The sequence below is a fragment of the Homo sapiens genome, chromosome 12 (genome assembly GCF_000001405.40).
Source record: "Homo sapiens chromosome 12, GRCh38.p14 Primary Assembly".
Classification (NCBI taxonomy): domain Eukaryota; kingdom Metazoa; phylum Chordata; class Mammalia; order Primates; family Hominidae; genus Homo; species Homo sapiens.
The window spans coordinates 53,170,988-53,195,281 of NC_000012.12; the positions used below are offsets into that span (position 1 = coordinate 53,170,988).

The 24,294-nt window shown below is 49.7% G+C and overlaps 3 protein-coding genes across 42 annotated transcripts in view, besides 7 other annotated features; 1 reads left to right on the top strand and 2 right to left on the bottom strand.

The window, feature by feature from the left end:
* The window catches only part of CSAD (cysteine sulfinic acid decarboxylase), a 23,689-nt gene extending 13,325 nt beyond the window's left edge, over positions 1–10,364 (bottom strand). For 4 of the 20 annotated variants that reach the window (XR_007063086.1, XR_007063085.1, XM_047428957.1 and 1 more), the window contains exons 1-7: positions 10,239–10,364; positions 2,741–2,783; positions 2,358–2,489; positions 1,535–1,661; positions 1,359–1,449; positions 895–1,001; positions 190–454 (exon numbers count right to left, since the gene is read on the bottom strand). Coding sequence is in view for 14 of the 20 variants with exons in the window: in XM_047428957.1 (XP_047284913.1) it covers positions 190–454; positions 895–1,001; positions 1,359–1,449; positions 1,535–1,661; positions 2,358–2,483 (716 nt within the window). In the remaining 6 variants the exon portion in view is untranslated. The other 16 variants (XR_007063087.1, XM_024449011.2, NM_001244705.2 and 13 more) reach the window with 15 other exon arrangements.
* Positions 526–1,025: an enhancer, noted in NCBI's record as "H3K4me1 hESC enhancer chr12:53565297-53565796 (GRCh37/hg19 assembly coordinates)". NCBI's record gives its function as "activates a minimal SCP1, AML or CMV promoter by ChIP-STARR-seq in primed H9 embryonic stem cells {active_cell/tissue: H9 hESC(primed)}" and the evidence as "EXISTENCE:reporter gene assay evidence [ECO:0000049][PMID:30033119]".
* Positions 3,892–4,827: an enhancer, noted in NCBI's record as "OCT4-NANOG-H3K4me1 hESC enhancer chr12:53568663-53569598 (GRCh37/hg19 assembly coordinates)". NCBI's record gives its function as "activates a minimal SCP1, AML or CMV promoter by ChIP-STARR-seq in naive and primed H9 embryonic stem cells {active_cell/tissue: H9 hESC(naive and primed)}" and the evidence as "EXISTENCE:reporter gene assay evidence [ECO:0000049][PMID:30033119]".
* Positions 9,204–9,762: an enhancer, noted in NCBI's record as "H3K27ac hESC enhancer chr12:53573975-53574533 (GRCh37/hg19 assembly coordinates)". NCBI's record gives its function as "activates a minimal SCP1, AML or CMV promoter by ChIP-STARR-seq in naive H9 embryonic stem cells {active_cell/tissue: H9 hESC(naive)}" and the evidence as "EXISTENCE:reporter gene assay evidence [ECO:0000049][PMID:30033119]".
* Positions 9,425–9,514: a silencer, noted in NCBI's record as "silent region_4495". NCBI's record gives its function as "represses an Ori minimal core promoter by ATAC-STARR-seq in GM12878 lymphoblastoid cells {active_cell/tissue: GM12878}" and the evidence as "EXISTENCE:reporter gene assay evidence [ECO:0000049][PMID:35858748]".
* Positions 9,735–24,155, top strand: ZNF740 (zinc finger protein 740). The gene is made up of 7 exons (NM_001004304.4): positions 9,735–9,850; positions 10,690–11,005; positions 13,904–14,053; positions 14,400–14,489; positions 14,967–15,090; positions 15,404–15,522; positions 16,514–24,155. The coding sequence occupies exons 2-7, from the start codon at positions 10,997–10,999 to the stop codon at positions 16,601–16,603; spliced, it is 582 nt and encodes a 193-aa protein (NP_001004304.1). The 5' UTR covers positions 9,735–9,850; positions 10,690–10,996; the 3' UTR covers positions 16,604–24,155.
* Positions 9,805–10,104: a silencer, noted in NCBI's record as "silent region_4496". NCBI's record gives its function as "represses an Ori minimal core promoter by ATAC-STARR-seq in GM12878 lymphoblastoid cells {active_cell/tissue: GM12878}" and the evidence as "EXISTENCE:reporter gene assay evidence [ECO:0000049][PMID:35858748]".
* Positions 10,458–10,752: a silencer, noted in NCBI's record as "tiled region #11900; HepG2 Repressive non-DNase unmatched - State 2:TssF". NCBI's record gives its function as "represses a minimal TATA promoter and a strong SV40 promoter by Sharpr-MPRA in HepG2 cells {active_cell/tissue: HepG2}" and the evidence as "EXISTENCE:reporter gene assay evidence [ECO:0000049][PMID:27701403]".
* Positions 19,098–19,392: a silencer, noted in NCBI's record as "tiled region #11320; HepG2 Repressive DNase matched - State 12:CtcfO, and K562 Repressive non-DNase unmatched - State 14:Gen5'". NCBI's record gives its function as "represses a minimal TATA promoter and a strong SV40 promoter by Sharpr-MPRA in HepG2 and K562 cells {active_cell/tissue: HepG2 | K562}" and the evidence as "EXISTENCE:reporter gene assay evidence [ECO:0000049][PMID:27701403]".
* ITGB7 (integrin subunit beta 7) overlaps positions 20,336–24,294 on the bottom strand; it is a 15,929-nt gene continuing 11,970 nt past the window's right edge. For 11 of the 21 annotated variants that reach the window (NM_001414166.1, NM_001414156.1, NM_001414157.1 and 8 more), the window contains 7 exons: positions 23,211–23,357; positions 22,721–22,914; positions 22,153–22,376; positions 21,704–21,923; positions 21,343–21,551; positions 20,872–21,032; positions 20,336–20,649 (listed from right to left, as the gene is read on the bottom strand). In NM_001414166.1, the coding sequence (NP_001401095.1) occupies positions 20,569–20,649; positions 20,872–21,032; positions 21,343–21,551; positions 21,704–21,923; positions 22,153–22,376; positions 22,721–22,914; positions 23,211–23,357 (1,236 nt within the window). In that variant the 3' untranslated portion in view covers positions 20,336–20,568. Of the gene's footprint in view, positions 20,745–20,871; positions 21,033–21,342; positions 21,552–21,703; positions 21,924–22,152; positions 22,377–22,720; positions 22,915–23,210; positions 23,358–24,294 lie in introns of all 21 variants that reach the window. The other 10 variants (NM_001414171.1, NM_001414170.1, NM_001414169.1 and 7 more) reach the window with 4 other exon arrangements.

Sequence of the window (24,294 nt, forward strand, 5' to 3'; positions counted from 1 at the left end):
TGGGATTACAGGCGTGAGTCACCGTGCCCGGCCAGATTCTGCATTTCTAACAAGCCCCAGGTCATACCAATGCTGCTGGTCCACAGACCACACTCTTGAGTAGGAAGAGTATGGACTGTGTCCACTGCACTCACGGCCCCTCCTCTGCCCCCAAACAGAAGGCAATGTGAACAGGAGCAGTTACTTGACCTCCTTGATTGGAAGGAAGCACATCCGCCTGGGGGCAGGCTGGCCTTGGAGGATGTAGGGAGGGCAGGGAGAAGACCTGGAAGGTCTCTACTTAGCTGGCTGGAGATTAGAATCAGGAGCCCAGGGTTGGGCCTGTGCCTCTTCCCCACCTCCTTCGATGTGAATAGGGCCAGGGGCGGCAGTGTGCGGAGGCCCCTCTGCTTGCAATCCGGGTAGCGCTGATAGCGGGCCAGATTTACAGCATACATGTTGGAGATGGAGCCACCTGTCACAGGGAGGGGGCGGTGGCAAGAGGAAGGAGCAGTGGGTCAAGACTGGAGCTTGCCTCCCTTCCCTTTCTACCAGAAGAGCTCATCAAAGAAGCAGGTATGACTGGCTCCCAGGCCACAATTCTCAGGATCATACCATCCCAGAATGGATCCAGGATCAGCAGATCCTCTTGACCACACCTCTCCACATCTGGGGCTGCCCCCAAGAGACAGCCCCCGTCCGGAGATAGCAGGAACTAGACCACTGACCCCAGGGAATGGTGACAAACATGAGCATGAAGGGACCAGGCAGCCGCCTCCCTGGCCTGGCCTGGGTCCAGCTGGAGAGGAATCAAAGAGGAATCATCCCTCCCTGCCAGACACTAGAGCAAGAGAACGGTGGGGGAGGAGGAACTCATAAAAAGGGCAAAGAAAGGTCCTCCTCCTTCTCACAAACCAGGGCAGAAGATTCCGTCCCCAGAGCTCCAGCCCACCAGGGCCCGCAGTTTCCTCAGCACCTCCTCTTCCATGAGCACAAACACGGGGGCGATTTCATATGTGTACCTGCCAGGAGAGAGAACGACGAGAAAGGAGAGATGGGGAGGGACTGCCCAGACAGGCCCTTAAACTGCACAGGAGTCACAAAAAGGAGGCAGTGAAGAGTGAGCAAAGCAACAGTCCAAGGAGAAGAACGAGTTGGTGACAGAACCAGGGAAGCAAGAAAGAGAAAACAGGGGTCAGGAGGCCTGAGAAAGTTTGGAGAAAGTGGGTCCAAAGGATATGAGGAAAAACTCTCTGCCGACAGGGATTCCCAGAAGCAGTAGAGAGAGGGCAGAACCATTCTCCTCCCCTACCCCTCAGGCACCTCTCTAGCAAACCTAAATCCTTTGTGGGATGGTAGAGGGGCCTTGGGATGCTCACTGGCTGGTGTTGAGGCTCTCAGTGATAATGCGCCCGGCCAGAGCATGGGGATCCAACCCAGAGAAGAGCTGGTTGAAGAACCGAGGGTGACCTGGAGAAGGAGAGTAAGCCAGGGAGCTCAGAGTAGAGCTCAGGGCAAACTCCCAAGTCTCCTCCTCACAGAAGCCAGGGCCCACCAGTCTTGACACTGTAGCGAATCACAGCCCGACACCGCTCCAGGATCTGCTTCTGTGACTCGCCCTGGCTCCGCAGCTCCAAATCCAGCAGCTGCTTCAGCTCCTCAGGCTCCTTCCACTCACAGACCTAGGAAGAGAGCCGGGGATGCTGGGGGCCTGGGATGCCTGTGGACTGGCTGTCAAACCACACCTCCACAGACACGAGACACGGCCAACCTGCACTAAAAACAACTTCGGGATATTTCCAAAGCAAAACTCTGAAAATGAACAAGAGTAGTGAACACAGTAAGACCCAGAATGTAAATCCCTGAGGTACCCAGGGGGGCAGGGATGAATTCTGGGGAGAAATCTTATCAAAGGAGGAAAGTTCTGAGCCAGATTTGGAAAGAGAAAGAGAAGGCTTGGGCCAGGCGTGGTAGCTCACGCCTGTAACCTCAGCACTTTGGGAGGCCGAGGCAGGCAGATTACCTGAGGTCAGGAGTTCGAGAGCAGCCTGGCTAACATGGTGAAACCCCGTCTCTACTAAAAATACAAAAATTAGCCGGGCGTGGTGGCACATGCCTGTAATCCCAGCTACTCGGGAGGCTGAGGCAGGAGAGCTGCTTGAGCCCGGGAGACGGAGGTTGCAGTGAGCCAAGATTGTGCCACTGCACTCCAGCCTGGCCGATAGAGCGAGACTCTGTCAAGAAAGAAAGGAAGAAAGGAAAAAAGGAAGGAAGAAAGAAGGAAGGAAGGGGGGGGGAGAAAGAAAAGAAAGGAAAAAAGAAAAGAGAAAAGAAAAGAAAGAAAGCTTGATGGGAAGGAGGAGGAAGAAAGGACTCACCTTCTGGGAGACACTGGTTCCTTTCTGAATGGCCTCATCCACAACAACCCCAAACACGGCCCGGAGCAAGGCTTCCACAGCCACTGGGTCCCCAGCAAGGGAGGGGAGTGCTTCTGAGTCAGCCATCAGGATCTGTGGCAGAGCAGAGTCATTCCCTACTCAGCCTGTCAACCCTTCCCGGACCTACCCAGCAGGAGCCTCCTCTCCCAAACGGGCCTGAGGCCCAAACCCTGCAGCTCAGTCTCGGCCTCCAGTGCACAGACAAGGGCAAGTGAGAGTGCCCAGGGAGAAAACCAGTGGGAACAGGTGGGAGAGAAAAGGCAGTCAGTGCTGAGCAAGTGGACTCTAGTGGCCATTTCCACCTAAGGCAGAGACAAGCTTACCTCTCTGCTCAGGAGAGCCGGAGGCAGGGTGCACAGGTAGCTCCTCAGGACAGCAGGACCAAGATGGCAGAGGAAGTGGGGTGAAAAGTGTACAATTAAGTGTTTTTTTCATAAATTCACAAAGTTGTTGCAACCATCATCACTATCTAACGCCAGAACATTTTCATCACCCAAAAAAAAACCTCAGTAGCAGTCATTTCCCATTCTCCCCTTCCCCGACCCCTGGCAACTACTAATCTACTTTGTTTCTGTAGATTTGTCTAGTCTGGCCATTTCATGTAAAACGGGTCATACAGGCCAGGCGCAGTGGGTCACGCCTGTAATCCCAGCACTTTGGGAGGCCGAGGCGGGCGGATCACGAGGTCAGGAGATCGAGACCATCCTGGCTAACACGGTGAAACCCCGTCTCTACTAAAAATACAAAAAATTAGCCGGGTGTGGTGGCGGGCCCCTGTAGTCCCAGCTAGCTACTCTGGAGGCTGAGGCAGGAGAATGGCGTGAACCCGGGAGGCAGAGCTTGCAGTGAGCAGAGATCGCGCCACTGCACCCCAGCCTAGGCGACAGAGCGAGACTCCATCTCAAAAAAAAAAAAAAGAAAAAAAGAAAATACTGAAAAAGAAGGAAAAAGACTTCAAAATATTCATTTGTGGCTATTTCTGGGTGTTGTTATGGATGATTTTTAAGTTTATTATTTATACACATCTATATTTTTATAACTTTATACAATCATTTCACATTGCTTATGGAATTAAAATAACGGTTCTTTTTAAACAATATAAAAATTGTCCGCGTGTGGTGGCTCACACCTGTAATCCCAGCACTTTGGGATGCTGAGGTGGGTGGATCACCTGAGGTCAGGGGTTTGAGACCAGCCTGGCCAACATGGCGAAACCTCATTTCTACTAAAAAATACACAATTAGCCGGGCGTGGTGGCGGGTGCCTGTAATCCCAGCTACTCAGGAGGCTGAGGCAGGATCCACCTGAACCTGTGAGGCGGAGGTTGCACTGAGCCAAGATGGTACCACTGCACTCCAGCCTGGGCGACAGAGTGGGACTCCATTTCAAAAATATATATATATATGGAGGAATTAAGGGGGTACAAGAATTCTAAAATATACAAATCATCAGGCTCAAGGAATGTCCCTTGCACATCATGTGGTTTCCCAACTCCTCAATCCACTGTTATCAAAGGTCTAATGGAAGGCAAAGGGAGCCACACACTGCTCATCTCTATTACGCAACCCCTCAACCCCCGCTGGCTCTCAGGGAAGGGAATGGGTTCAGTTTGTTCAGCAAACATTGACTGAGTGTTGTCTACTTCTGAGCGCCTGGCTGGCATTACCCTAGGTGCTGCATCTGCCCTGTGGGCTCCAGCTAACAGGCTGGCAAGAGAGACCTGCATGTAAAATAAAGGGAAATTGCCACAAGAGGGAGTTGAGAGGTCACCATGGAAAGGCAGGAAAGTTCAACTGGCCCAGGACAGGCTTCAAGGACAAAACACTAAGGCTCTCCTTAAGGCAATAGAGAGCTGGTGCAGGAAAAGACTCAGCAGGAGTCATTGCAATGCTATTTGAATAAGTGATGGAGTGGGCCTGAGGGAAGAGGGAGTTAGGGAAGGTCACACAGGAGGAGGCCTGCCTGGGGACAAAGGGATCTAGGCAATTGTCTCCTGAAGCGCTCTCAGCCAGGTTTATGGTTAGAAAGCTAAAGTACTCTGTGCTATCTCCCAATCAACAAACCCTAGTGGCTCCACACCCACATTAATAAAGGCACAAACTCTCCTATGTATACAATCTTTTCTCTGCTTCTAGACTGTACTCTCCTGGGTGGAGAGAACTAAGTCTTTTCCTTCATTAAGTAAACTAATAGAAAACAGGGACCCCTCAAATGTTAGTTTCCATCTTCTTGATTGTCCTCTCCCCTCCCCCAGGGACTTGCACAGAGGCATTACATAAACATTTGTTAAATCAATCAATGATTTGCAGGTACTGGAAAAAATGCTGCATTCTACTTACATTTGATTTGCATCAACCAAGAATCTGTAGTAATGATAATAGATTTGCAAAGGGTGTTTTTCCTTCTCATTTATTATCTTATTTGACCTTCACAATAGTATTAGAAATTAGCCTAAATAGGTATTTATTCATTCTTGTTTTCAAGATGAGGATTCTTAGCTGAAAGAAGGTGAACTAATTGTCCAAAATTACAAAGGTGACATGGGAACAAGCCTAGATCACTGACTTTCTGACTTTAGGCTACCTCTTCCACTGCATCACAGGTCCGTGTGGCATTTCTCACTATTTCTCATCATTGACAAAAATTAACTGCAGCTAAGATAAAGACAGAAACTGAAAATATACAACCATAAGAATACAAGAAGGGGGGGTGAGGGGCGGGCACAGTGGCTCAAGCCTGTAATCCCAGCACTTGGGAGGCCGAGGCAGGTGGATCACCTGAGGTCACCTGAGGTCAGGAGTTCGAGACCAGCCTGACCAACATGGTGAAACCCCGTCTCTACTAAAAATACAAAAATTAGCCGGGTGTGGTGGTGCATGCCTGTAATCCCAGCTACTTGGGAGGCTGAGGCAGAAGAATCGCTTGAACCCGGGAGGCAGAGGTTGCAGTGAGCCAAGATCGCACCATTGCATTCCAGCCTGGGCAGCAAGAGCAAAATTCCATCTCAAAAAAAAAAACAAGAATACCAGAAGGGGCTGGGAGCAGTGGCTCACGCCTGTAATCCCAGCACTTTGGGAGGCCAGGGCGGGTGGATCACGAGGTCAGGAGATCGAGACCATCCTGGCTAATATGGTGAAACCCCATCTCTACTAAAAATACAAAAAATTAGCCCGGCATGGTGGTGGGCACCTGCAGTCCCAGCTACTCAGGAGGCTGAGGCAGGAGAACGGCGAGAACCCGGGAGGCGGAGCTTGCAGTGAGCCGAGATCATGCCACTGCACTCCAGCCTGGGTGACAGAGCGAGACTCCATCTCAAAAAAAAAAAAAATATTTATTTATTATTTTAGAGAATAAGTTTTGCTGTATCACCCAGGCTGAAGTGCAGTAGCACAATCATGTCTTACTGCAGCTTCGAACTCTTGGGCTCAAACAATTCTCCCACCTCAGCCTCCTGAGTAGCTAGGACTACAGGCACATGCCAGCATGCCGGGTTAATTTTTTAATTTTTTGTAAACAGGGTCTCACTATGTTGCCCAGGCTGGTCTTAAACTCTTGGCTTCAAGCAATCCTCCCACCTCAGCCTCCCAAAGCACTGGGATTACAGGTGTGAGCCACCTCGCCTGGCCAAAATATAATGTTTTTATTGTGAATCAGATTATTTATTCTATGGTATTTTAGTGTTGGTTATATTCTTATATTTTATTTATATAATTTTTGTTTGTTAATCTGACATCTGGTCATGTTGCTGAACTCCATAGTTTTGATACATTGTCAATCGTTTCTCTTTGTAAGATGAATATATATGAAATCAAGGAGGCTTTAGGGTGGCCAGGAGCTCTCCTAAAATCTTAGTTTTAATAGTAAACATCCCTGGCTTGTTCCTAGCAAAGACAGAAATGTTTCAAATATTTTCCCATAAAGCATGACTTTTGTCTCAAAAGCTGAAAGATAAGTGAAAAAGAGAAAATATTTTAAATGCAGACGACAAAGAATAGTTATTATCCATAACACAGACAGGATTTCTACCATCAATAAGAAATATACAAATGATCTACCTTTTTTTAATGGGCAAAGGATATGAACAGACAGTTTACAAAAACAATTAAAATGGTCAAAGAGCAATAAAATAGTCCCACCTATTTGGAAGGCTGAAGTGGGAGGATCACTTGAGCTCACGAGTTGGAAACCAGCCTAAGGCAACAAAGCGTGGAGACCCATCTATTTATTTATTTATTTATTTATTTATTTTTTGAGACAGAGTTTCGCTCTTGTTGCCCAGGCTGGAGTGCAATGGCACAATATGGGCTCACTGCAACCCCCGCCTCCCGGGTTCAAGTGATTCTCCTGCCTCAGCCACCTGGTAACTGGGATTACAGGCACGTGCCACCAAGCCCAGCTAATTTTTTTGTATTTTTAGTAGAGATGGGGTTTCTCCATGTTGGCCCAGCTGGTCTCAAACTCCTGGCCTCAGGTGATCCGCCCACCTCGGTCTCCCAGAGTGCTGGGATTACAGGCGTGAGCCACCGTGCCTGTCCAGAGACCCATCTCTTAAAAAAAAAAAAGGCAATAAGAGAATATTAACTTCACTATTAATGACATGAAAATTAAAACAAATACTATTTTTCACCCATTAAACTAGTAACTGTATAAAAAATTCATAGCATACACTAAACATTGCCAAAGTTGTAGGAATAGGGAACATTCACACATGGTTCTGAGTAAACATGGGAGTTGTTACAAACTTTTACAATTCATTTTCACAGAATCTATTAAAATTTACATATCCGGCCAGGCATGGTGGCTCAATCCTGTAATCCTAGCACTCTAGGAGGCCGAGGCCAATGGATAGCTTGAGCCTAGGAATTCGAGACCAGCCTGGGCAACATGGCAAAACCCTGTCTCTACAAAAAACAAAAAAACAAAAAAAAAACTACAAAATTATCCAGGCACAGTTGCCCACATCTGTAGTCCCAACTACTTGGGAGGCTAAGATGGGAGGATTCCTTGAGCCCAGGAGGTTGAGGCTGCAGTGTGCCCTGACTGCACCATTGCACTCCAGCCTGGGCGACAGACCAAGACCCTATCTTTAAACAGAATGAAAATAGGGCCGGGTGTGGTGGCTCACACCTGGAATCCCAGCACTTTGGGAGGCCAAGGTGGGTAGATGACCTGAGGTCAGGAGTTCAAGACCAGCCTGACCAACATGGTGAAACTCCATCTCTACTAAAAAATACAAAAAAATTAGCCGGGCTGGCAGCAGGCGCCAGCTACTCAGGAGGCTAAGCCAGGAGAATTGCTTGAACCTGGGAGGTGGAGGTTGCAGTGAGCCAAGATTGTGCCATTGCACTCTAGCCTGGGTGACAGAGTGAGACTCCATCTCAAAAAAAAATAAAAATAAAAATAAATTTAAATAAAAGCACATATCCTATCTATAAATCCTTATAAATGCAAAAGGTAACTTTTTTTTCTTTTTTGAGACAGAGTTTCACTCTTATTGCCCAGGAAAGGCACGACTCTCGCCTCACCACAACTCCCGCCTCCCGGGTTCAAGTGATTCTCCTGACTCAGCCTCTCGAGTAGCTGGGATTACAGGCATGTGCCACCACGCCCGGCTAATTTTGTATTTTTAGAAGAGACGCGGTTTCTCCATGTTGGTCAGGCTGGTCTGGAACTCCCGACCTCAGATGATCCGCCCACCTCGGCTTCCCAACGTGCTGGGATTACAGGTGTGAGCCACCCTGCCCGGAGCAAAAAGATAACTATTTAAGGATGTTCATTATTGTATTGTTTATAAAGCAAAAAAATCTGAAACCTAAATGTTCATCAAGATGGGACAAGGCACACACATAAACTGGAATACTGTGCAACAGTTTTTTAAATGTTAGCTGACTCAGATGTCTAAAATACACTGTATGGCGCATTACAGGTGCTCAATAAATACTGGTTGAAAAGATTTTTGTATGAACACAGAAAAAAGCCTAAAAGCATATATACCAAACTGGTAAGAATGATTCCCTTCAGGAGCATGGGATAAGTAGAGGGGGAGAATAACCATTTTGTGTCTTTTATACTTTTGCGTTGTGTCGATTTGTAAAATAAGTAGGAGCTAATTTTCAAAAAAGATTTAAAAGACTTATTCCTGGTGATGTTTCTTTATCTCTCTCTTTCTCCATTTTGTCTCTATTTTAGAATGATCCTAAAACACAAAAAACGTACTTTCAATGGCCCAAATCATGGAGTGGCTCAGGGAAATGAAATCTGTCTACAAAAAAAAAAAAGTTGAGAATCCTTGTCTTTTTTTCATCATACAGTTTTTTTTTTCTTTTGGTATCACCATTACTTCTCCTAAAGTCACGACATAATATCACCTACAGCAGAAATGAGGACTTCAGTGGAATTGACATCTCCTTCCATCAAGCGCATTTGCAGTCCATCTTTAGCAGGACCTCTCTCTAATGGCTAAGGCTAGGCAGAAGAATTTGAAGACAGTCTGGTTTCCATTTTCCTAATGCAGCCTGGCCCAAGAGCCAGGACTCCCATAAGACTAGTCTACTGTGGGAGTCAGGGTCTTTTCCACGTGTGGAGGCTAGTGTTTGATGCTGGACGGCCTGGAGTAAAGGGCGAAGGGGAGAAGGTAACCAACCAGGCTGGCCTCGGGATTCGCAGAGGAGGGCTGGGGCTTTGACTTCTGCAGGGAGGTGAGCAGTGTGGCCAAGGGCTACTCAAGGAACGCCTCTGCGAGAATTCAGACTGTGGTTGAGCGCACAAAGCAAGAGTGTGCGAAGAAAAGTTAACGCCTCTCCCAGCTGACCCCAAAATCTGCTAATCTGGGCCTGACGGAAAAAATTCGGAGAAGAACCACCTCGGCCGAGTTACGTGAAAAGGCTGGGTACGAACTACTCTGGCTCTACTTGGGGCGCCGGCTCAGAGCGATGGGCAGGACGTCCGCGAGGAAGAAAGAGTGACGATGATTTTTCAAGGAGTCTGAACCAGCTCACCCAGCAAACCCTCCTCCCATCGAGCACCCAGCGTACAATCATCGAAGGGCCGAGGGTCCTGCCCTCAGTCTCGATGGCGGCCGGGGCGCGCCCCGGCCACGGCGCACGCGCCGGCCTCAGCGCTCCCTCCTCCATGCCCTCGGCGCACGGCGCCGCCCACTCACCCAGCTGCACCTCTCCGTGCGTCCCCAAGCTCACCCGCTCTGAGGCTGCCCCCGCTAGTCTAGCTGCCGAGCCCGGAAGTGGATGCAGCCGCTCGGCGGAGAGGACGAGGGGGAGGGGGAAGTGCTTCCGGGGAAACGGGCCGGGGTTGGTGTTTGTAAACTTGCCTCGGTCCCGGTGGGGGCAGCCGCGGCGGTGGGGTTGGCAGGGTGTGCTGGGGCCTGGAGGAGGCGCCGCGCGGCCAGGGAGCCAGCGGGAGGCCGCGCCTGGCAGGTAGGAGCAAGCCCCAAAGACCGCAGCGTCGTCCGTACAGACGGCAGCGCTTCAGTAGCTCGCAAGCCGTGGGGTGCCGCGCGGGAAGGGGGAGGGGAGGGGAGGAGGGGCGCGTGGCGAAGGGAGGGGGATCTCCGGGGGAGGGAGGGGAAAGGCCGTGCGCGCACACCGCCCCCTGCCCGCGCGTCCCGCCGCGTCCCCGGCCCGGGAGAGGGCTCTCGGAGGGGACGCGGGCGCGAGCACGCATCTCGCGCGCTTCTCGGCACTCTCCGGCTCTGCTCCCGGTTGGTGCAGCGGGTGCAGAGGCTGGCTGGCCGGAGCGAGGCGGGCGACACGCCGCGCCGGGCTTCGCCTGCCTGTCCTCCACCTCCGCAGCAAGTTTCCCTACCTTCGGGCGGACGGGGAGAACGCACACGTGTGGGCACTGCCAGTCCCGTTTCTGCCCGCCACCGAAGCACCCAGCGATGGCCCTTGAGCTTTCCTCCACCCTAGTCTTGCCGCCTCTGTAAAGTGCGAGCTTTTCGGGCCGGCCCACTGGGCACAAAAGCCCCAAAGGGTCTCCGCCCCCTTCTTCCATTCCTGAGATGGCAAATCCAAGCAACTTTCCTTTTGGCAGAGTTCCTCCATAGGAGGCCCCAATTACTTTTGCTCCTGTTGGCTTCCACTCCTTGCCCAGGAGACCAGTTCCTCCTATTGACCTAGAAAGAAAACTCTTCTTGACTCATGTCCTCGTTCTGAGCTTCACAGAGAGCGCCCAGCAAAAAAAAAATTCATATCGCACGTTGTAATGGCCTGAAGATGTTGCATTTAGCAGCCCCCCTCTTCCTTTCTGGTTTCAGGTTTCTGAAACAGATCGTGAGCTTCATCAAGAGAATTCAACTGGAAAACCAAGACTGGTAGACTCTCTTTTTCTTCAGACAATAGGCAGGAGCCAGGCAGAGTCCAGGGATTCTTGGAACACCTATCTTTTCTTCGGAGGACACTAAGTTCTATTTGAAGACAAAGTTCAATATGGCAACAGGACTGATGGGACACGAAGGAGTCGCTACCGTGATTTGGTGACAGTTCTTCAAAACGACAGTGTCTCAAGGAAAGGTGGACCTAGGAACTCCTGAACTTTTGGGTTGCCTTAAGTGAGAAATCAGCATGGCTCAGGTAAAAAGCTCTAGAGTCCTCCTCCAAGATAACTGGGAAGCCTGTTTGCAGTTTCACTCTTGAATGCTGCCTTAGTCAACATATTGACCAACCCCAGTGATCCAAGCTCTGTATTAAGCACCAGGGGGAGATCTAGAGGAAGGAAAGGAGACAGGCCACAGCCCCTGCCTTCAGGGAGCTTCCAGTCAAATGAAGGAGGTAGGCTATACTGCATCACAGGCACTGATGGGACATTTGCAAAGCAACGTGTACTCAGTTTACATTTGGTACATTAAGTGCTGAGGGGTGTAAGGGAGTGAATAGTACGGTGAATGCTTCTTTTGTTTTTTTCCAACAGGAATTTATTGAGTTCCTGTTGCATGCAAGGCATTGTGCTGGGAATACAAAGATGAATACGATTGTCCTTGTCCCCAGTGAGCTTCCAGGCTAGTTGGGGTCGGGAGAGGGATGGAAAGCCATTTATTTTTATATTCACAATGCCTTGTATAGTGGCTGGCTAGTAGTAGAGACTCTGAATCTGTTGATTGAGGAATGTGCAATAATAGGGGTATGTACATAGGAGAGAACAGTACTTCTGCTTGGATAGAAAAAGAAGATGGAGGTTGAAAGATGCATAGGATTTTGCTAAACAAGCGAGAAGGGTGTTTGGACAAAAGGAACAGCATGGGCAGGAGCTTAGAGTCATGGGAAAATGTGATGAGGTTCCGAGTACTGCAGGTTGTTTGATAGTTACGGAGTAAGGGATTTAAATGGGGATAGTTATGGAGGTAGTATTGACAGTGATAGGTGAGGAAGTTGTTCCCTGCAGTAAGCAGAGTGTAACCCAAAGGCCTTTTATGCCTCGCTAAGTTAAGCAGCAGAGTAGCATCAGATCAGTGTTATGTAGAAGGTCATTATTGTGGAGGTAGAGGATGGACTGGAGAGACAGAATGAGCAGATAGGCTGTTGTAGTCATCTGAGTAGAATAGCTATGTGCACACATCTCCAGAGCTTCTCCCAGCTTGCTTCTAGGGAACCTCCCTACCAGTCTCACCAGGATGGCAGTCTGATTGTAGTATAATTGGCTTTCCTCCAGCTGCTTCTGAATGCACAGCTTCCTCCTTTCCATATAGAATAGGAGCCTGTCAGTTTCTTCTTCCTTTGTGTTTTGCAACCCACTTCTCAGCATTGTATTCAGTCTTCTGAGAATGCTGCCTTCCACTAAGGACTGAACTTTGTGCTAGACACTGTTAAGCGTTTTACGTCTTAGTTTACTTTTCATCAACCCTGTAAGGATAAGCATTATGACAGGCATTTTTCATGTAAGGAAACTAAGGCTTGCAAAGGTGGAATAACTTGCCCAAGATTATAGAGTGCAAACAGCTGAGCTAAGATTTTAACTCTGGATCTTTCACTCCAAAGTCCCAGAAGGTGGAGGGAGGGGTCCCAGAACGTACTGATCATCTAAAAGGAATTTCTTCATAAATTTGTGAGTTTGCTGACCAACGATTTCTTAAAATTTTTTTTTTCAGTAAGAAAAGTATTTTCTTTAATGCCGGCTAACCGAAGTCAGTTTGAAGAATGTAGCAGTTTTCTGGAAATTTACTTAAACATACCTTACTTAAGTAATTGTTTAAATTATATATGGAGCAAGGAATGTGAAAAAAAATGTGATCATACAAGCACACATATAAATGGCCTAAGAGGTCAAGAGAAATGCTGAACTCCAAAAATCATATCAGTTGCAATTGGTAAATACTTAGGGAGTTTAAAATCTAAAGGGAGAAATAGCCTGTAGTCCCAGGACCTTAGGAGACTGAGGCTGGAGGATTGTTTAAGCTCAGGAGTTCCACACCAGCCTAGGCAACATGGTGAAACCCCGTCTCTATAAATACAAAAAAAAATAGCCGGGTGTGGTGGCATTCTCCTGAAGTCCCAGTTACTCAGGAGGTAGAGGTAGAAGGATCGCTTAAGCCAGGGAGGTCAAGAGTGCAGTGAGCCGAGATCGTGCCACTGCACTCCAGCCTGGGCGACAGAGTGACACCCTGTCTCAACCAACAAGCAAAAAATGAAACAAACCGATAGAAAATACAGTTGGCACCAGCAAGATCTGCCAATCAAAAGTGGGCTCTGAAGCTAAGGGGTGTGTGTGTGTGTGTGTGTGTGTGTGTGTGTGTGTGCGCGCGCGCGCTCTGAAGCTAAGGGGTGTGTGTGTGTGTGTGTGTGTGTGAGTGACGGAGGGATTCTCGCTCTGTTGCCCAGGCTGGAGTGCAGTGGCGCGATTTCGGCTCACTGCAGCCTCCGCCTCCCGGGTTCAAGCAATTCTTCTGCCTCAGCCTCCCGAGTAGCTGGGACCGCAGGTGTGTGCCACCACACCTGGCTAATTCTTGTATTTTTAGTATAGACAAGGTTTCACCTATTGTCCAGGCTTGTCTCGAACTCCTGACTTCGTGATCCGCCCGCCTCATTCTCCCAAAGTGCTGGGATTATAGGTGTGAGCCACTGCACTCGGCCCAGCTGAGGGCTGTTGAGGGAGGAAGGAGGAAGGTCCTGAAGGAATCTCCTGTGTCAGTGGGTTAGCAAGATGGAACCTCATACCCACTCACAGTTAAGGCCTAGAAATACCTTCAAAGAAATATGTAGCCACACACTGCCTAGTGCTGATGACAAAGGTGTCAGTAATACTTGATTATTTACTTGATCTATATTTAAATGCTGAAGGATGACAAGATAAGTCGTTCCTGGTGAGATGAGTTAGGGAGGACTCTTGAAGGAAGCAAGGCTTTGGCAGTGAGGAGGGACATTCCCTGGAGAGAAGCAGTTTGTAGCAGGGTGTAAAAGGTAGTTCTATAGAGGATGGCAGTCTGTTTTTGCCCTGCCCTGCCAGGTGACCTGACACCTCATCTCCTTTCAACTTAGGCAAGTCTCCTGGCTTGTGAAGGCCTAGCAGGTGTGAGTTTGGTTCCCACTGCAGCCAGCAAGAAGATGATGCTGAGCCAGATTGCCAGCAAGCAGGCCGAGAATGGCGAGCGGGCAGGTAGCCCTGATGTGCTGAGGTGCTCGAGTCAGGTACAGCGCTTGAGTCCATTGTGGCACCTGGGGATCGGGTGGCCCAAGCTCTCTGCCAGGAGATACCAAGCTCTGATTCCTTGATGCTTCCTCATAGGGAAGTGGGGCAAGGGGATCCAACTGGGGAATGGATGAACATTGGTATTTCAGAAAGCTAAGGAAGGTCTTTTGTGTGCCTTCAACTCTTTTAAGACCAGGTGCTTGGAGAGGAAATAGTTGTATACTTCCTCTAAGCTTTCGGGGCAGGTGGTTTACTCTCATTTATGAATTTTGTCTGAGAGCTGCATTGGGTCTCATCTCATGTTCCGAGATGGGCTATGAGTTTAGATTTGATTTGTCTTCAAAGGGTCACCGAAAAGACAGTGATAAGTCCCGGAGCCGCAAAGATGATGACAGCTTGTCTGAGGCCTCTCATTCAAAAAAGACTGTTAAAAAGGCAGGTAATGGGGTGATCCCCCAAACTCATACAGTTTGGTAATGGGGTAATATTCCTCCTTCTTCCCTCTACCATGTAACCTGGAGCTTTCCCTAGATGCTTTGATCTCTGATAGCCAGTGAGTGAGTCCCCCAGATTTCATCCAGAGACTACCTTGGTAGTTGATCTCCTGCCTTGCTGGAACAGTAATGGTACAGGTTGGGGAGCATGAGATCCCAGATCCCGAGGCATGGGAGCAGGCAGGCTCCAGCTCAAGTCATACTCAGACTGCTGGGTTTGACAGGATAGACAGCTTACCCACTCCACCTCCTTCCCCAAAGGGTCTCTTACCTCCATGGAGTACAGGAGATGGCAGCACCTTTAGACAGCATCAGAGAGGTTCCTTTCTCCAACAGCTGGAAGTGGACCCAGAGTAGAACAGTGTCTCCAGGAAGAGGGCAGTGGTGGCCTCATGACATGCCTGATTATTGCCCCCAGGTGGTGGTAGTGGAACAAAATGGTTCTTTTCAAGTAAAGATTCCCAAAAATTTTGTTTGTGAACACTGCTTTGGAGCCTTTCGGAGCAGTTACCACCTAAAGAGGCACATCCTTATTCACACTGGTAAGTCTCTTGTTTATATTCAAAAGGGGGAGAATAGTCTATCGCTTGTATTCCATGTCTGTTTGTGGCTCTAGTTGGGTTTATTTTAATGGGTAAGTATTAGAAATGAAGGAAGAAGATAAGTCAATGAAGCAGAGAGATTGCATGGCTTTGTATCTGGTGTCACTGAGACCAGCACCTTTGGGGACCTCTCCCCATTTATGATCACTTAGGTGTCTACACATTACTAAGAGTTAAAGTTTCTGAGAAAACTGGAATGAGGTCCCTACTGTACATACCTCCCCACATTCACTTCTCTGTCCACCTGGGCCAGGTGAGAAGCCATTTGAATGCGATATATGTGATATGCGTTTCATCCAGAAGTACCACCTGGAACGCCACAAGCGTGTGCACAGTGGTGAAAAGCCTTACCAGTGTGAACGGTGTCATCAGGTAAGGCTCATCCCTGCTACAATACCCCACACACACTTTTCCTTCCCCAAGAATCAGGGCCACCCTCCACTCCTGCCTGACAAAAGAGCCACCAGCGTTACTCGCCATAATAGTTAACACATCGGGGTGAAGTGCATCTGTCTGGCCTTATGCAGCTGATCATGGGGAGCAGCAATTAGAACATTGTAATAATAATAATAATAGCATTCCATATCACTTACTCTATGCCAGGCACTGTGAGAGCATACTTTACATAGATGATTTTATTTAATCCTCACATTGACTCCCTAAGGTAGCTGTATTGTCCTTATTTCACGTATGGGAAAATTGAGATTCAGAGAAGTTAAGTTTCCCAGGGACACCGCAGATCACGAACAGAGCTGGGATTCAGTCCAACTTCAGAGCTAATGCACTTTGGAGGAAGAGATACAATCTTTGCCCTGGGGGTCAGTATCTGATCTGATGAGAATGTAAGAGCTGGGGCCAAAACAAGACAAGAACAAGAGATGAGAAATGATAATAGCTAACACTTCCTGGATGCATTGCTAGGTCCCAAGCTTTGCTCTGCACTCTTACACTGAATCTTCAGACGCTAGAATAAAAGCTCCATGAGGGCAGAGACTTTGTTCCTCTGGTTCTCTACTCTGTATCTGCCTTGAGATAGATACTCAATAAATCTTTGATGAATAAAGCAGCTGTGCTGTGAGTAGGTACTTTTAGCCTCGCTTTGCAGTTTTGCAGATGAGTATGCAGATTCTGGGCTGTTAGGTAACTTGCCCAAGGTCACACAGCTGCTGAGTGATAGAGCCAAGATTCAGCCCCAGGCGGTCTGGCCTGAGAGCTTGGATTCTCCACCACCGTGTGCTCCTGCTGTCTGTGCACGTGCTGAGGGGATGGAGAATGTGGTATCTGCCTCCTGTGAGAGGAATGAGTTAGCCAACAGGTAGCTGCGTTTGTCTGCTCAGGCACTTAACCCTCCCTTTCTTCTCAGTGTTTTTCTCGGACAGATCGATTACTCAGACACAAACGGATGTGCCAAGGGTGCCAGTCCAAGACTTCCGACGGGCAGTTTTCTCTATAGGCGCAAGGGGCCCCGGGTGGTGGGAGTGATCAGAAGAACCTGCCGAAGAGCACACCCCCTCTGGTCTGATGGTCCCACCACCGCCCCATGTGAACCTGTCCCACTCCTGGAGGAGTGGACCCAGGAGACCAGAAGAGTGCATCAGGGGACAGTGGCCCCAGAACCTCAGCTCTGTAAATAATCTGAGACTATGAGTATCTCGGGGAAGTTCTTACAGCATTCCTGGGTAGGGGAGCTAGTCCCTGGACCCTTGGCTGAGGTCATAGGTGGGGACTCAAGGTACAGGACCAAGACTGAAGTGTGGCTCCCACAACCTTGGACTCCAGCTGGCAGCTGAAATGGAAAAGATTGGGGAAGGGGATTTGTTTGTTCTGTTCTTGTTTTTGTTTATCCAAAAGCAACTTCAGCGGGTAAACTGTGGATACAGGTAATCCAGAGGCATAAGAGTCCTGGTCCAAAGTAGGGACTATAGCTGGTCCAGCTCTCCCCAAAAATTGGGTTTTTAGTTGCAGTAGCTCCTCAGTGTTTCACAATCCTGCACTTCGCCTCCTTTTTGAGGAAGAATAAGGTCAGGAATGGCAGCTGAGCTTACTTTGGCTTCCTTATACACTGTAGGGACAAAAGGAAAAACGGGGTGGAGCAGACAAGGGCTGGATCCAAAAAGTGGATGGCACCTCTTCCTTCCTCAAGGGAAAAGGAAGAGTTGTGCCAGTGGGTGTTGTCATGGCCCATGTCACATTGGCACCTGATGGCATCAGCTCAAATGCCTTTAGGAGGAAACTTGGGTGAGAGTGGCCCATGAAGCCCTTTTCTTCTTTTTTTGGGGAGTCGGTCTTGGAGATGGTATGTGGCTACCTCGCTGCCATTGACTCCTAAAGTGAGACAGATGTGTTGAGCAAGGAGTCATGGAAGTCAAAGTGGGTTCTCTCTCCTTGTGCCCTCTTAGGAACAACCCAAGACTGGTCCCAAGTTGGCTAACAGCTGCTCAAGAAACAAAGGAATCTGGGGTCTTCTGACATGCCTGTTGAGCAGTAGGAGCTGTTCTCCCTCCCCAAGTCCTATCACTGTATTCAGGTAGAGGAGGTAGGGAGGGGTCTGTCCTTTGGTCCCAAAAAACAAGATCTCGGCTTGCTTCCTGATGGCCATCCCTACCCAACAGAGTGTGGGGGATGGGGGTGGGGGTGCTGCAGAGAAAAGACTAAAGAAGAAACCTAATGTAGGTTCCATTCTTAACCATATTCTTTGCTCCTCTCTGCTCCAATACCACCACCTTGTCCACTCCCAAAAAAGTAATCGGGTGTGTGTGTGTGTGTGAGAGAGAGTGTGTGTGAGATATGAATGCATGTATTTGTATGCTTGCAGGAGATGGCATATTATTGAGCCAAACCCTTCTCTGGCCCTCACCTTCAGGGAGGATGAGTGGAAAATAGCCTCCTCTTGCCCAAACATGAAGGGTGCTTGAGGTCTCAGCAGGAGCTGAAGAACACAATTTGGGGAACAGAAGGGCTTTTGTTTTGGAGGGTTTTTTTTTTTAAGATGAATTCAACAGCCTGGTGGTTAGGATGTTTCTAACCCAAGCCAGGGCTTGTGAACATGAATTTTCTAAGGTGAAATAAACCTTTTCTTTCTGCTAAAGAAAGAATCCTTATGGGAAGTTTTGGGGTTTGGTTGACCCCCACTGTAACCTGACCTGACCTGTGGCGGGTACGGGAACTGTCTTAGTAATCATGGAGACTGGCTGAACCTGAGTGCCAAGCTGTCAGTAGGGTCTGAGATGGGAAACTCCTGAAAGTATGATTTCATTTCCCAGAAAATGTAAAGAATGGATACCAGCAATGATTCCTGGCTGTTACCTATTCTGGAGGGGTGGGGTTGGGGAGGGGGTTGTCCATACCTCTGTGGTATGAGTATTTCAGGGAAAAAGAAAGCAGGCATGGCACCCATTCGATTTTCCCTGACAGCATCTGAGATCCTTTTGGGGAGACGCTGAGGAGTGTTTGCTGCCATGTACTCTTACAGCTCTATGCTGACACTCCCATTTGATGTGGTCCAGAACTTAGACCTCAGTCCTTGGATCAGCCCTGTGGTCCCTGCAAGCAGGGGCATCTTTCTGCATGTGAGCCAGCCCCCTTCCTGTTCAAGGGTTCTGCTGGATCTGGGCTTTTCCTGTCCTTCACTTCTGGGATGATTCACCCCACATCTTCCAGTACCCTGTAAACCATTTTAAAATATTTAGAAAACTATCCTCCCAAAAATGCTTTTGAAAATGAGAGCCCTCTGTCCCTGCCACTTACAGCTAGTCTCTTTGGGATAGGGGTGTATGTGGAGAGATTCATGTAAGTCTCACATGAGTGACCTGTGCCCCTATGTGTACTAATGTGTGTACTGGGTCAGAAGGTGCCCTGGGTTCCCACAGACCTTGGTTTCCTGCCTGGGTGGGTGGGAGGGAGGGAACTTCAGAGAGTATGTGCGAACAGCCATAGCAGAGCCACCCCTGCCAAGGACCCAGTGAGGGAAACTCAGGAGCAGGTGGTTGGTTCAGTTCCCGCGCTGATGTCTGGGGCAGTGCATGTGTGAGAAGAGAGGCGCAAAGCAGTGAAAGGAGTGATTTGGCATCCAGAGGGCCCGGGAGCCCCACGGATACCCCAGGGAAGCCACTGACTCACACCGCTGCAGAGGCTCCTGGGCCCAATGCCCGACCCCTGCTGGCCAGCATGGGGCCTAGCACTGGAAGATGCCTCAGGTGTGTTTGGAGTGGGGGAAACGGAAGTAGGGCACGCTCTCAGAGACCAGGATAGAGAGTCAGGGAACCTGGGAAAGAGTAGTGCCAGTTCCGGGTAGGCTGCTGCACCAGGCCCTACCAGCTCAGGCTATAAACAGTCTGCTTTGCCCCAAGTCTTTTCCGTCCACCCCCAACAGCCTTGTCATCACTTAGCTACTGATCACGCCCATGGCTTGACATTGGAGGGTTACATTAGTGGAGTCCGCCACAGCTTCGAACCCTCTCCCCAGATGCCCTTTGCCTCTGCTGTGGCCCTGGGGTTTTATCAACTGTCCCCTTCCTATCCTCCTCTCCACCCTGTTTTTTGTTTTTTTTTTTTTTAAATAATATTTTGCTATGGGGGAGGGGAATATCAAATGGACAAGATCACTTTTAAATGGTAGTTTTTATAAGATGTTATAAACTTGTATCTTTTTACCATTAAAGTGCAGTGTATGTTCCTTCGTGATATATTTAGGATATTTAAATAAAAGGAAAATGGGGCTTTTCTACATACTATCTCCTCTTTGGGGAAGCTTTTTCATACTGGTTTTAGTTGTTTTCCTTTTTTCTCCCTACATAATCACCCCACAACTTCCAGCACCCTATAAGCCATTTTAAAACCCCTTCTCCACAGAGGAACAAGCAAGTAGGAGCAAAAACAGGGCATCAGTTCTGAGCAAGACGAAAAAGCACACGCAGCAGGACGGAAGGAGGCTAGACACCAACAGATGCAGTGTCTCTGACCTGGGACCCCCCTGCATCCGCAGCACTTGAGAATTCATAGGCCCTTTCCAGACCTGGCTTCCTGGGTCCCAGGGTGCACCCCGGGAGTTTCCTGCACATTCGCGCTTGGGCACCTCTCCCTGCCCTCAGGTGGCAAGAGGAGGATGGACAAGAGCTTTCCCGAGGCCCAGGCTATAAACAGTCTGCTTTGGCCTTGATGAGGTAAAGCAAAGTGACAGCTGTGGTCTGAGGTAAGACTTTATTGTATACTTGGGTGGGGTAGCCCAGATGGATGCAAGGTTGCAGGCATGGGAAGCAGCCCTCTTGGGTGTCACTCTGAAAATGAAGTAGGGTGGTGGCCGCACCTCGCCAGTGAATTAGTCCCCTACCAAGGTCTTACAGACCCACCCTTCCTCTCACCCTCCAGTTCCCACTGTCCTCCAAGGAGAAGAGCCTTGGGTAAGTGTCCCTCCCTCCTTCAGAGAGTGGGACTGTCTGCCTCTTGAAAGCGAGGATTGATGGTGGTCGTGATGGCACTTTTGTAGAGAGGATTACTGTCCTGGAGAAAGATGTTGCAGATTATAAGCAAAAATCCCAGGATTCCTCGTCCCCTTTCTAGACCTAAGAGGCCAGCCTTGAGCCGAATCCTAGGAGCTGATGGAAGTTAGCAGAGGGGTTGGTTACATGTGCCAGGGGCTGGGGGAACCCAGTGGGAGGAATCAGGGCTGGTCTTGTGGTGGGGGAACAGCTAAAAAGGGGCCTAACCAGGAAGTCTCCTCACCTGCTTCCAGTTGAGTTGTTGCTGCTCCTTCTCAAAGCGACTGTATTCCCGGCGGTCATAGATTTCCACCGAGAGCCGGTAAGCCAGGACCAGCCCCAGCCCCACTGCCACGATGCCCCCTACGCAGCCCAGCACAATGGCCTGCGTGTGGTCTGCTCCCTCTGTGAACAAGAAACCAGACACACTTGTGGGAGCTGGAGCATAGGGACAGATCATCAGTTGCTCACAGTGTGTCCAGCCTGTCCAACCCTGTCTGTCACTGAAAGCAAAGGGAACCCAGGGAGGTCCAAGGTTATCCTCACCGCCCAGGGCCTTAGCCTCGTCCACTTGCTCAATTGCCTCTGCCTTTGTCCTGGATTCACAGTTCTGCTTCAGCCCCCAGCCTGTTTCCCATTATCTTCACTCTGCATCCCCAGAGTTGAGACCCTGCCCATCAAACTTCCAGGGTTTGTGGCATCCCTGCCCACTTACTTTCTTGGGGTCTCACTCTGAGCACGACCGTGCCTCTGGCGTCATCCTCCACCAAGAAGAAGAACAGCTGGTTGTCCAGGGTCCGCTCTTTGCACCAGCCATCATCCAAGATAGGGGCCAAGGCCAGGGTCACATTGGTATGGGCACAAGCTGTACTGCAGTTGGTGGCCAGTGGGCCAGTCCTGAAGGCCCCACACTCTGCACAGTCCCTGTGTAGTAGATGCCAATAGGTTACCAGCTGGGCAGTTGTCACCCAATGCCCCTTGCCCAACTACAAGCAGGACGGAGAGTAGGCAGATGGGAGTAGCTCAACAAGCCCCACTGTGCCCCTGCTCCCAAGATGCAAGACCTGAGGCCTCACCGGTGTCTCTCGCATGGTGTCTTGCAGCCTGGGCATTGGTCGCATAGAGCACCATAGTAGCCGTCCAAGCACTGGCAGCGGTTGCATTTGCAGCGTCCATGCCCACTGCAGAGCCCTCCCTCGGGACTGATGCAACTGTCCATGTCCCCACTGCATTCGCATGCTCTGCCCGTGCGGTTGGCATGACAGTGACATACTCCACATTGGCAGCGACCAAAGCCTGGGGTAGAGCCATGCAGAGGGTGACAACCATACTCCACACACACAGTTGGCCATCATGTGGCACGACAAGCCCACGCATCCAATCTTTTTGAAGTATGCCAACCACACCCTCTAACCCATACACCGGAATCTTTTGATATTTGCCTTCCATGCCAGGAGATTCCCAGAGCCTAAGTGCCTTGGGAAGGCCTCTCAGACCCCGCCCTTCTCCCCAAGGCTCCAGGTACCTCCGCAGAGGATGCCCTCATGTCGCTCACAGCTGGCATCGTCACACTCGCACAGATGCCCAGAGCTCTGTCCACTGCAGCTGCAGCGTCCACATTGACAGTGACCCTTTCCACTGCACAGGGGCCCTGTGCCATTGGGAGCCCGGCACCCAGATTCCAGGTCTGGGGAGGACAGCTCTGCCACAGAGCACTCACAGAGCCGACCTAGGCGGCCAGGGGCACAGCTGGAAGGGGAAGGCAAAGGAGAGAAGTAGGTCAGAGGGTTTGATCACCCCTGACTTGTCTCTCCCAGGAACCTCTAAACCCAAGTTCTCAAAAGAGTTGGAGACAGACAAACAGCTGAAAGGATGTTAAGTATAGTGAAACACTGAGGGGTGAGAGAGTGGAGGGAGCCCCAGTCAGGGGGAGGGCCTGGACATACATGGGAAGCTTCAAGGGATGAAACTGAGTGGGGAGTCGGGATGTCGAGGAGACTCCTGTGGGGGGGATGGAAAGCAGCGGAGGAATACGGGCCAGGGTTGGTTGGTTGTTGGGAGCCAGGTGGTTGAAGGGAAGAGGAGGCCCTCACCTGCATACACCACATTGTAGGTGTCCCTGGCCATCACTGCAGTGGGGAGCCTGGGGCTGGGTGTCACTGCAATTACAGTCACACAGCGTGTGCAACTCCACAATCAGCTCCTCTGAGAAGCCAAGGGCCCGGAGCCTCAGGAGATGGGGCTCTGGGAGGCAGTGGGTGGCTTGGAGAGAAACCCAGAAAGTCACCTGAGAAGAGGCAGGAATCAGGCCATGGTTATACACATGCACACACACATACCCCAAACTCACCAATCATCCAGAACCTCACCCCTTAGTAAATGAAGGGATGGGGTCATGTTAACACCCAACTCCTAGAAACATGCCTGAGGAAGCCACTCAGACTGCTCCAGGAAGGATGGATGGAGGACTACCTCAGGCTCTCATGTCACTCCCTGTACCTGCCACCCATCTTTTCCTGCCTGCTTAATTTCCCACTCCCACCTCCCCCTGCCCGCCTTCTGCCTGTGCTTGCTGGCTCTCACCGTCTGGTTGATTCGGACGTGGTTGCACTGTCCTCGATCCTCAGCCTTACCCTCCCTCTTCTCAGGACCCTCACACTGGGATTCGTAAGAAATGTGGACCCCAGGAGGGAGTGAAGAGTGTTCAAGGGTCACGGTGGAAGACAGGCTCTATGGGAAGAGAGCGAGTGGATAACCACGTGAAGGCAGAAAAGGACTCCAACCCCACCTTATGTCCTCTCCAGGTGTTCCCAATTCTGCCAGCACCCTGCCCTCTGCCACCTGGGGCTCCTTCCATTCTGCCCAGTCGAGGCATTTCTGGAGGGAGGACCCGTGAGAACCTTGCATAGAACATACAGGATCCAGAGGCCTCTAATACAGCATTTCAGTGCAGCTGCCAGCAAGGGCCACTGAGGGTCACAGGCTGGCCAGGTGCTGTAAATGTACAGAGACCATGTTTGTGAAGCCCCACATCAGGACACATAACCTGGGTGCATGCCAGGTCTAAAGGGCAGATTCATTACAGAGTTTATCTTGGGAAATTTGATACTGTCTCAGATTTTCTTGCCATAGGTTTAGGAGATGCTCCCTGTTATCAAGAAGCCTACAGCCTAGTTGCAGAGGTAAGACCTAAACCACTAAGAATTTTTATGGTTCCTTCTACCTGTAAAATTCTATGGTTCTTGTGAAGAATAGCTCTGAATTATTTATAAACTTAGTGAAAGCAGGCTCCAGATCTCACATTGTTTATGTACAGACTGACTGGGGACAAATGCCAGCCCTTCTGTTTGTTATCTTTGTGACCTTGGACAAGTCACTTAGCCTCCTTGTGTGGGTTTCCTCATCTGTAAAATAGGGATGGTAACAGTTATGAAGCAAGGCTTTTGGCAGGGTTAAATGAAGTAGCAAACAGTATGTACACCTAGGATGGTGGGCGCATGAAATAAAAGCTCAGTGATTGAAACTTTCCTTTCTTGCCCAGAGCAGAGCTCCATGCTGTCTGCATGTCAGATGTTTTAAGATTTATGAATGTAAGATTGAACAGTTAATGACAGCCACATGCAGACTATAGGTAGGAGCTGTGGAATGTTAGACCAAAAAGTGACCA

Coding starts and splice junctions, on each gene's coding strand:
- ZNF740 (NM_001004304.4), top strand. Junction 14,054..14,399: donor TGCTGAGGTGCTCGAGTCAG/GTACAGCGCTTG, acceptor TTGTCTTCAAAG/GGTCACCGAAAAGACAGTGA. Junction 15,091..15,403: donor GCACATCCTTATTCACACTG/GTAAGTCTCTTG, acceptor CACCTGGGCCAG/GTGAGAAGCCATTTGAATGC.